Source organism: Homo sapiens, chromosome 4 (genome assembly GCF_000001405.40).
Source record: "Homo sapiens chromosome 4, GRCh38.p14 Primary Assembly".
Classification (NCBI taxonomy): domain Eukaryota; kingdom Metazoa; phylum Chordata; class Mammalia; order Primates; family Hominidae; genus Homo; species Homo sapiens.
The window spans coordinates 69,955,046-69,966,612 of NC_000004.12; the positions used below are offsets into that span (position 1 = coordinate 69,955,046).

General features: G+C 32.9%; 1 protein-coding gene across 3 annotated transcripts; it reads right to left on the bottom strand.

The window, feature by feature from the left end:
* Positions 1-210: 210 nt before the first annotated feature.
* CSN2 (casein beta) lies at positions 211-10,683 on the bottom strand. 3 transcript variants are annotated; one of them, NM_001302770.2, is made up of 8 exons: positions 10,636-10,683; positions 5,900-5,962; positions 5,008-5,034; positions 4,004-4,024; positions 3,864-3,905; positions 2,229-2,759; positions 1,269-1,310; positions 211-547 (listed from the first exon to the last, which is right to left on the bottom strand). In NM_001302770.2, the coding sequence occupies exons 2-7, from the start codon at positions 5,948-5,950 to the stop codon at positions 1,305-1,307; spliced, it is 678 nt and encodes a 225-aa protein (NP_001289699.1). In that variant the 5' UTR covers positions 5,951-5,962; positions 10,636-10,683; the 3' UTR covers positions 211-547; positions 1,269-1,304. The 3 variants fall into 3 exon arrangements, with proteins under 3 accessions (NP_001289699.1, NP_001882.1, NP_001372660.1); NM_001891.4 differs by having other exon boundaries at positions 3,864-3,908; NM_001385731.1 differs by lacking the exon at positions 3,864-3,905.
* Positions 10,684-11,567: the final 884 nt, after the last annotated feature.

The following is an 11,567-nucleotide window of genomic DNA, read 5'->3' on the forward strand; positions in this document are numbered from 1 at the left end:
AAATAGGCATAACCCAAAACTTTCTATAGCAAATGGAGTATAAAAGCATCCTTTCTTTTCCTCCACTTTTTGATATCTTTTAATATTCAATTCAAAACATTCTATTCAATTTCAAAGCATTCTTCCAGGATTATTTTGAACATCAATAATAAATCAAAGTTAACATTAAAGAGGCCGATTAGGTTTGAAAAAAAGACAGAAGAACTGAAATATGCTTAAGAATAATTTATTGAAATGACTGGAAAGGAAATAGATTCTTAAAGAAATAAAAATAAGCACAATTCCAGAAACAATTTGTATACATATGTTTGATATGTTTGTAGCATTTCCAAATGAGTATTGAACTTCTGTGGTACTAGTTGAATTAAGATTTGGAAAATGTAAATAGTTCATGAGTCAAATTTCAAATTAAATGAATGACATAATATATAAAATAAATAAAGGGACAAAGTTCATTTTTTCCATATAAACTCATTCAAACATACTTAATTTGGGGTAACGTGATACAAAGACGGAAAAGGCATCATATTTCCAGTCTCAGTCAATTCTGTGGAATAGAGAGCAAATATATAATTAGTTATGTTATAACACGTAACTATTCAACTCTCTTCACTTTTAACTTTGGTGTGACTAATTCACAAAAGAAATTGTATTGCAAATGCATTCTGTTGCGGTTTGGAGGCATGTAAAGTTTGTTCACCAAACTTCACCAAAGTTCATCAAATATTAGTGAACTTGAAATTGTTTCAGTGAAATGTCTGGTATTTCATAATCCCAAAAGGCTTTATATCTTAGAATTGCAATGCTGTTCTCTCCTCTTTTTAACCTTTACACTTGGAGTAATTTTAACTCATGAATTAAAAGATAATTTTAAGTAAAGTAAATACAAATTTTATGAAGGCTAGGTTAGAAATAAAAATGCAAATAGGCTTTTGACAAAAGCTCAAATGTATTTCCATAAAAGTAAAATAAGTATATATTCTGTCTTTCCTAAAAATAGTGATAATCAAATGTAAGTATATAGGCCCTTGAAAGCAAGCCAGTCAAATCTGTCAATAGTACATAAATAAAATTAAAGTTATTTGAAATGCAAAAGATAGATAGTTTCAGGTCAGTAAATGATAGTCAACCATTAAATTGATAATTAATAAAAAAAGTTCTTGTATGTATGAAATTTTCACTGTATTGGACTTCTCTAGGAGAATTAAATGTAAAAAGACATCATGTATAAAAATGATCAATTAAATCTCCAAACTCCCAAAACTTACCAAAAATAAGGAGGGAAAATTAACTTTGAAATCTTCTTAGACCTTAAAAATAAACAGATACAAATAAATAAATAACCTCTTAGTAAGAAAACTTGCCTTAAGAATGTTGTAAGTAGTGAAATAAGCATCTCCGTCTTTTGCCTTCATATATATTTACAGCAAAAACCAGATGTGAAGTAAGGCTTGTGTAAAATAAATAAATAAATAAATAAATAAATAACCTCTTAGTAAGAAAACTTGCCTTAAGAATGTTGTAAGTAGTGAAATAAGCATCTCAGTCTTTTGCCTTCATATATACTTATAGCAAAAACAAGATGTGAAGTAAGGCTTGTGTAAAAGAGATGTGCACAAGGAAAATGACAGAACATTTTTTAGCTTTTTTTTCCAAATTCAATCATATTATTAAATTTAATTCCGGCTTTTGTAAGCCTTAATTACTTTATCTAAATCAGAATTCTCAACAGACTAATTAAACCAGAATTCATGCAATAGTTTTTTTCTCAACACTCAGTTTCCTCTACACAAAAAACTAGAACAATTATATCAGAATCTCTGGGTAAGCTTAGGCATTGGGATTTGTGGGGAAAAGTTCTCCAGGTGATTCTATTGTATAGGTAAGCATTAAGAATCACTTATCTATGAGAACACATGGACACAGGAAGGGGAACATCACACACCTGGACCTGTCGTGGGGTGGGGGTAGGGGGTAGGGATAGCATTAGGAGATATACCTAATGTTAAATGACGAGTTAATGGGTGCAGCACACCAACATGGCACATGTATACATATGTAACTAACCTGCATGTTGTGCACATGTACCCTAAAACTTAAAGTATAATAATAAAAGAATCACTTATCTAAACTGTTTTTTTAATTCATTTACTCTACATTTATTCTTTTATTCTACCATCACATACACATCTTGAATGAAACAGCAAAGCCAGTAAATTTGGACTTACACTAATGGGGTTATGAACTGGGGCAAGTGGCTGAGTCACAGGGTAGATCTGGTGGGTGGGGTTAAGTAGAAGTTCTTGGTTGAGCAGAAGGGCTTGAACAGGCACAGCTCTCTGAGGGTAGGGCACCACTTGCTGGGGGATAGGCAGGACTTTGGGCTGAGGAACAGACCACAGGGGCTGAGGGGGAAGTGCAAGAGTCTGAGGAATAGGCTGAGGGACCTGCTGCATCAAGGGCTGGAGCAGAGGCAGAGGAAGATGCAGATTTTCAAGATCAGTGAGTTTTGGGATTTGAGGGTCAAAAAAGGGTATCGTTGGAGATTTAAGGACAGGCATCACTCTGCCCTTAGTGTAGACAGTGTCTTTAGCTTTAGGGACTTCCATTATTTCAGGCTGAGGGACAGGCAGCACCACAGCAGGCTGAGCAAGAGGCAGAATGTTTTGTGGAAGAAAACCATAGGGGATAGGTTCAACGAATGGATAGATCAGAGGCTGTGGCTGGAAAGAGGGGTAGATTTTATCCTGGTGTTCATCCTGGAAAGAAGGAAAAAGAATCTTTGAGTCCTTGATTAAGCTATAATTGCCATTCATAATGAATTCATTTCTCTCTTTTAGACAATGATAAATGAGTAAAAAGAGAGGAGAAAATATTTCACTTATTTTGGTTAAGAAAGTATCTTGAGTCATGCGAAGAAAAATGAGTAAACTGTTTGTTGAAAAATTTTAATCCACTCACTTCATGGGTAACTCCACAGGCCAAAGTGAAATCAATGTTTGGATATTTCAGAAACACTTTTTTTAACATTTTCCTGAATTGCCTGGATAGCTGTAGCTGTACACTTTGGTCTTCAGAGAGAATTTACTTTTCAACACAGTTGTGCCAATAGTAGACCAAATTGTTTTCATACAGTGAAAAGAGATCAGTTTAAAAAGACTTAGAGGGACAATTCCAAGGTTTATTTTTGTTTTGTTTTGGTTTGATGAAAAAGAAAATCAGTCTTAATTTGTGGCTAATCTCAGGAAGTAATTTAACACCGGCCAAATTCTTACATTCCTTCCCTTGGGAGAAGATAGTCTCTTGAGTCTTTCAAGAGACATCAATTTTTTTGTTTAAATTTGATTTTAGAAATATTTTATGTGACTCCAAACAATTCATTGGTACACAAAGCAATTGAAAATTATAATTGGGTAAACATATCACCATAAATGTAATTTAATGAAATACAGGATTTTGTGTTGTCCATATGGGAATAAAGGCAATATGGGACAAATTTTACATAGGTTTTTTTACCAGCCGTATACACCTTTTCATTACCATATCCACCTTGGAAATAAGAGGATCATAGTTCCCAACCTGGAAATGTTCCCACCAATGTGTACTTGTTGAAAACAGATATACCATTAGTAATATCATTATGTATTTAGTCTGTATTCTAGAAATTAATTATGAGTTTAAAAATGCATGCATATCCTAGAAAATATATTGACTTTATCAATGTTTAATTTTTAAAGTGGTTGGTGGGTATATGGCATTTATTTTATTATCATTCTTTAGAATCAACATACACATTATAAATATTTTTGTATGTATTATACTTTATAATAATTTTAAACATATACTTATCATTAACAAATTACCTCTCCTTGCTGCTGGTCCTCATGTTTAACCTTCTCAACTTTCTGCTAAAGATATATCATATATAAAGATATGTTACCATCTGTAAAGATTAAAAGGAGGAAATTTTGAAAATGTGTACATTTTAAATGTGAAAATTTACCTTGTATTCTGTAATAGATTCCTACAGAAAAATATAAAATAAAATTAGGTTTAGTTTTAACAATTCTTACTTTGCAATATAAATCAGGAAATAAAGGCATTAATTCTTTGATAATATCATTAATAACTTTGTATAATCATTAAACTTATGTATTAAACTGTTCTATATGAGCTTGTTATGTAAAAGAAAGTCAGATGAATGCAGTCAAGAAGGACATGGTACAAAAAAAAGCAATTAATAGATGCTAATTTCTCTCTACCACCATGCTCATTCCCTGACAACAAATGATATCTAAAACCCCATCTGATTTTTAAAAAAAGAAATACTCATTGAAAATATATTCTAATAACAATTGATACATTATGATCACTTCAAATGAATCATAAGAGTTAAACACTTCCCTTAAGGATCATATAACCTTTCTGAAGAGACAGAATCTATTGATGTACCATTTACTTATCAAGTGATCACACACCCAAGAAGAGTGGTGTAAGAATAAATATCTACCTGACTCTCTCAGGTAAATTTAGGACTACACTAAATCTCGCTTATTTACTAAAGTGGCTATTGTAATTATAAAATGTGTCCTTTTTGCACGTCTGCCTACCTACTACTTAGCAAGCTCTTAACTATCACTGGCATCTCTAACTTTTCAGTTTGTACCACAGCTCCTAGTCAATGTCTGACCCATAGAAGGCCGTCAGTATATGCTTAAGGTGAATAAGTTCAGAGTAAAGAGAGTTCAAGGCAGAAAACAGGACAATATGGTTCATTAAAAAAAAAAGAAGCAAAATAACACAATTTCAAGTAGCAAGCCAATTTACAAAGTTCTAGAATGTTGTATTATCCAGATACTTATTGTCCTTAAACACACATAAAAGAAATATGTACTAGAACTTATATGTCATTAACATAGCTGCATTAGCTTAACTGCCATGATGTAACACCATAGAAAAATAGCACAGGATTTTACTGTTCTAAAATTGGGTAGAATGTTAACTTACCTCACTGCTTGAAAGGCTTTCTATGGTCTGTGGGAAAAAAAAATTGACAACCAGCTAAATCTTCTAGATCATTAGAGAATTTTACTATTTTATGGTTCATAAATTTTCTCTAAAAAAATAATCTCACCTCAGAGGATGCATTGGATTGTTCCTTCTGAAAAGATGTTTAAAAATTCAACTTCTATAGCTAACTCATTGTTAAACATGCATCCTACTTAATTTTTACATCACTTATGCAGAGCTATCTCTTTCACAAATTTGAGAAATAAAAAATGTTATATGACTTTTGAGGTTTAAAAGGTAATTACTTTAATGTCTTTTATATTTAGTAATCTATTAATATATTTTTATCTTACATTTATTAAAGACAGAGTTTTTTATGGGTAAAAGAAGAGTCACTTTAATTTGTATTAAATATTTTTATTATATTATTATTAATATATTTATGATCATGATTATGATTGTCTCTGTACTTCATCCCATGGATGTCTTTGTACAGACAGACACAGGATTTGACCCAGTGCCCTAGGCTGTAAGGTATATATACATTTTATCACTGGAATAAGATATATTTATCTAGCTTGAGAATCTTTGGAGTTGTATTTATGCAATATTATATTTCGTTGCCATTTTTATGATTTTTTATTACTTATTGATTTGTTTGCTTTTTCTTTAGTGACTAGCAGCACATTGGTGCAGGAAGCATTTGGGGCACTATAGGAAACTGTTGAGACAGTGGGTAAATATAAATGATTTTGATAGAAGCCAAGAGAATTCTCATGAAATTCTTCATTATTTATACAGTAAAAAATGTTGGTGATGTTATTCTCTACAAATAAGCATATAGTCCACTATTTATTGATTGTTTAGGAATTTTTTCTTGTGCACATACCTCCCTTGCAAGAGCAAGAGCCACCAGGCAGGCGAGGATGAGGACCTTCATGGCTACTAAGTCCTGTGAATGTAGAAAAAATGGAATGGTGGAAGATTGGTCAATTGGATATACTTTCTTATGTAGGTAAGGTTACTTTTTATAAAACAAAAAAAAAAGAGAGATAATATATAACAAAAATATCTGCATTTAGAAAATAAATAGAATAAATACTAAATAGAAGTTATATCACATGAAGGAGGTCAAAATCCATTCTGGCTTGCGATTCTCATTTTTCAAATTCCAAACTTCATTGCCAGCTATTCAGATTTTTCAGCTAACAACTCTATCCCCACTTTTAAAAAAGTCCCATTTACAGTATTGAATTTTTCAAAAGGCATAAAGAAGTTATAAATATGTATGGAAAGATTTATGCAACACATCAAAAAGCTTATCCACCATGATCAAGTGGGCTTCATCCCTGGGATGCAAGGCTGGTTCAACATACGAAAATCAATAAATGTAATCCAGCATATAAACAAAACCAAAGACAAAAACCACATGATTATCTCAATAGATGCAGAAAAGGCCTTTGACAAAATTCAACAACACTTCATGCTAAAAACTCTCAATAATTTAGGTATTGATGGGACATATCTCAAAATAATAAGAGCTATCTATGACAAACCCACTGCCAATATCATACTGAATGGACAAAAACTGGAAGCATTCCCGTTAAAAATTGGCACAAGACAGGGATGCCCTCTCTCACCACTCCTATTCAACATAGTGTTGGAAGTTCTGGCCAGGGCAATTAGGCAGGAGAAGGAAATAAAGGTCATTCAATTAGGAAAAGAGGAAGTCAAATTGTCCCTGTTTGCAGATGACATGACTGTGTATCTAGAAAACCCCATCGTCTCAGCCCAAAGTCTCCTTAAGCTGATAAGCAACTTCAGCAAAGTCTCAGGATACAAAATCAATGTGCAAAAATCACAAGCATTCATATACACCAATAACAGACAAACAGAGAGCCAAATCATGAGTGAACTCCCATTCAAAATTGCTTCAAAGAGAATAAAATCCCTAGGAATCCAACTTACAAGGGATGAGAAGGACCTCTCCAAGGAGAACTACAAACCACTGCTCAAGGAAATAAAAGAGGATACAAACAAATGGAAGAACATTCCATGCTCATGGGTAGGAAGAATCAATATCATGAAAATGGCCATACTGCCCAAGGTAATTTATAGATTCAATGCCATCCCCATTAAGCTACCAATGACTTTCTTCACAGAATTGAAAAAAACTACTTTAAAGTTCATATGGAACCAAAAAAGAGGCCACATTGCCAAGTAAATCCTAAGCCAAAAGAACAAAGCTGGAGGCATCATGCTACCTGACTTCAAACTATACTACAAGGCTACAGTAACCAAAACAGCATGGTACTTGGTACCAAAACTGATACCAAGACCAATGGAACAGGAAAGAGCCCTCAGAAATAATGCCGCATGTCTACAACTATCTGATCTTTGACAAAGCTGACAAAAACAAGCAATGGGGAAAGGATTCCCTATTTAATAAATGGTGCTGGGAAAACTGGCTAGCCATATGTAGAAAGCTGAAACCGGGTCCCTTCCTTACACCTTATACAAAAATTAATTCAAGGTGGATTAAAGACTTACATGTCAGACCTAAAACCATAAAAACCCTAGAAGAAAACCTAGGCAATACCATTCAGGACATAGGCATGGGCAAGGACTTCATGTGTAAAAGACCAAAAGCAATGGCAACAAAAGCCAAAATTGACAAATGGGATCTAATTAAACTAAAGAACTTCTGCACAGCAAAAGAAACTACCATCAGAGTGAACAGGCAACCTGCAGAATGAGAGAAAATTTTTGCAATCTACTCATCTGACAAAGGGCTAATATCCAGAATCTACAATGAACTCCAACAAATTTACAAGAAAAAAACAAACAACCCCATCAAAAAGTGGGCAAAGGATATGAACAAACACTTCTCAAAAGAAGACATTTATACAGCCAAAAATCACATGAAAAAATGCTCATCATCACTGGCCATCAGAGAAATGCAAATCAAAACCACAATGAGATACCATCTCACACCAGTTAGAATGGCGATCATTAAAAAGTCAGGAAACAACAGGTGCTGGAGAGGATGTGGAGAAATAGGAACACTTTTACACTGTTGGTGGGACTGTAAACTAGTTCAACCATTGTGGAAGTCAGTGTGGCGATTCCTCAGGGATCTAGAGCTAGGAATACCATTTGACCTAGCCATCCCATTACTGGGTATATACCCAAAGGATTATAAATCATGCTGCTATAAAGACACATACACATGTATGTTTATTGCGGCACTATTCACAATAGCAAAGACTTGGAACCAACCCAAATGTCCAACAATGATAGACTGGATTAAGAAAATGTGGCACATATACACCATGGAATACTATGCAGCCATAAAAAATGATGAGTTCATGTCCTTTGTAGGGACATGGATGAAGCTGGAAACCATCATTCTCAGCAAACTATCGCAAGGACAAAAAAACCAAACACCACATGTTCTCACTCATAGGTGGGAATTGAACAATGGGAACACACGGACACAGGAAGGGGAACATCACACACCGGGGCTGTTGTGGGGTGGGGGGAGTGGGGAGGGATAGCATTAGGAGATATACCTAATGTTAAATGACGTGTTAATGGGTGCAGCACACCAACATGGCACATGTATACATATGTAACAAACCTGCACTTTGTGCACATGTACCCTAAAACTTAAAGTATAATAATAATAATTTCAAAAGACAAATAAAATTTAAAAAAAGATTTATTCATTAACTTAAAAATATTTCTTTAGAATCTGTTCTTGCCAGACACTGTCTAGGGACCAGGACCGCAGCAATGAACAAAATATTACAGTCCTGATATTACTCCCTCATGGAGCCTCAGTTCTACTGGAAGAGACTGATCAAGAAAATGTGTACAAAAAAGTCACATTTTATTTTTACCTTTTTTCTTTTCACTAAACGGTTACCATGACTATTTTAGTTTATTTCTCCTCATTTCCAATAAGACTGAGGTTTTCATTTTAACACTTTCCTTATTTGTGTCACTATCCAGAGACTTTATTGGACTATTGAGTTTGTTTCTTCTCCGTTTATATTCATCTTCCCCACATAGCTAATAATGTCTGTTCTCCTTTATGCCACATGACTTTAGATATTGTACACTAGGCTTCTTCTCTTCTCTTTATTGAAATGTACACACGATTCTCTTGATGATCCGCCAAGGGGTCAGAGCCTCTTGCCCACTGCTAAGCTTGGGACTACCTCTTCTTGTGAAATATATGTTAATATTTTTGACCAAAATATACTAAATCATCTCCTTGTTATGTGTTCTTACATTTTTTTGTAATTTATTTCAAAATAATGTTTGTGCCACAATATTACTCACCACTCAAATCTTCATTCTCAGATATTGAAACTCAATTTTTGAACTAAATTTTTGAACTAAAATACTTCATCAAAAAAGTCTTTAATTTATTTGAGAGATGTTCTTTTCAATATTTGAAGGTTGAACATAATTCTATTACAGAAAACAAATATTTTTTCTAGATTTTTTATGAATGTTAATTAAGTTTTTATTAATTTTACTTTGCCTAAGACCACTATAAGTTCCCAAATTTTTATGTCAGGGTTCAGAAACAGAATATAACACTCTATTATATATAATTACACATAGGGAAGATCCCACAGCATTTTCTATATTTTATAAGTAATATAAACTTTACTAGTTTTATTACTAATCTACTAATATATATAATAATTTTATATACGAATGTATAATTACAATGCTAATTTATATACTAATATACTAATATATACTAATACTAATTATACTAGTTTTTATACTCATTTCTATACTATAAATATACTACATACTGGTATACTTTTATATACTAATTTTTAAGCCAGAGCTTCATTATCAACTGGTACACTCTAAGCTACTTTTTCTTTTATATCATCTATTATCTTTGTTTATGGTTTCCAAGTCTTTTCTACCCCATTAAGAATTTTCTTACAAAGTAAACCACATTGTTTCTTTTTTACTTAATTCTGTATTTCTGTCTCATTTTAATATTGTTTTGAAATATTACAAACTAGATAATAAACTGGGAAGTTTGAGGCTCTAGACAAGTTTGATGAGTAAACTCTTCTAAAAACATTGTTTATAAACATTTAAAGTAGTAAATGCCCCCATACCATTCCCTCCATTTCTCAACTCAGTATGCTACTGCTGTAAACTACCTGCTGGACAAAGCTTTTCCAGTAATTATTTATCTACCCATACTATAATTGAAGTATAATTCTTTTTATAACTGTGATATGCTAAATCAAATTGGAAGATTAATTAAAAAAATGAATCTCCTTTTAATATTAACTATGAACTAGCCTCATACTATATATATATATATATATATATATATATATATATATGCATAAAATTAGCTATTATATTTTCTTAAACTCATGAAGGCTATATGTCATTACCAAATTCTTCTGGGCACTTCTATCTTTTTTAGCCTAAGTGTTAAAAATAATCTCAGTACTACCTTAAATACTTTTATTTCAAACACTATATTTTAAGTAACTACGTTCCTTCTATAGCTCAAGCTACTTTGAAATACATGGTTAGGAGAAGATACAACAAATTTGTATCTAAAATTCTTACCGTTTTTCCAAGATTGAAGAGAAGTGAAGGTAGTGCTGGATGGATGATGGTCCATCAGCTTCTGTGACTGTTTATATACTATATTTAATGACACACTAATTTTGTGATTTGAAATAAGATCAATAGCGAGCTTTAATTCCAAGAAGTCCACATGATTAGAAAATGATTTCTGCCTATTACATATCCCCAGAAATTCTGGGCATCATTATAACAAGGGAACAATTCACAAGTTGATAAAAGAAACCTGTCCAGGAAATGCAATTATTCAATAACAAAAGACAATGACTGGAGGACAGTGATACTCTGGCCCTGTCCCCAAGTTATTATGGACATAATTAGGTCTCTTTAGGGCCTAGTGGGGCCTTGAGATTTCAGTTGTGGGAAAATTGTATGTGAACGCTAGATATACACAGGGCTTCACAAAGGCCACAGTTTCATGTGAACCTAAGCAGTTGTTAGTGCTTTATGCTGAAATGAAGAAACTGACAAGATAACAAGTCCATGATGGTAGCTTAGTTATGTGAGGCAAACTGTTTCTCCCAGGGCCACTTGATTTGGAAAAAAAAATAATTTAGTTAAAACAAATATTTTGTACACAAGATAAATAAACTTTCCTCTGTAATGGAATAACTTGAAGAGGGAATCTGGGTGGCTGGTATAGGCAAAATCTTCAGTAAATCTGTAATAAAAATTTTGCAAAGTATCACGGAGTTTTATTTACCTTTTAATATTGATTATCTCTTTTCAGGTCAAGCATAATTATGATAATATTAATGATGGGTTTTTTTGCTTAGTTCTAACCCTTTGCCAAGCACTAAGCAAAGATATTATCTTGTATAATCTGCACAAGAACATCATGAGGTAGCTCTCCTCTTCATATTTAGGTTGAGAAAACAGAGATGCCAAAAGGTTAAGTAACTTGCTCAAAACCA

Bases quoted from the DNA above. Each gene is read 5' to 3' on its own strand.
- CSN2 (NM_001891.4), bottom strand. From the start codon at position 5,950: ATGAAGGTCCTCATCCTCGCCTGCCTGGTGGCTCTTGCTCTTGCAAGG. The intron at 3,909-4,003 runs GTAAATTTTCAC...ATATATCTTTAG, and splicing joins AATCTATTACAGAATACAAG to CAGAAAGTTGAGAAGGTTAA. The intron at 2,760-3,863 runs GTAATTTGTTAA...CCTTCTTTCCAG, and splicing joins AGGACCAGCAGCAAGGAGAG to GATGAACACCAGGATAAAAT.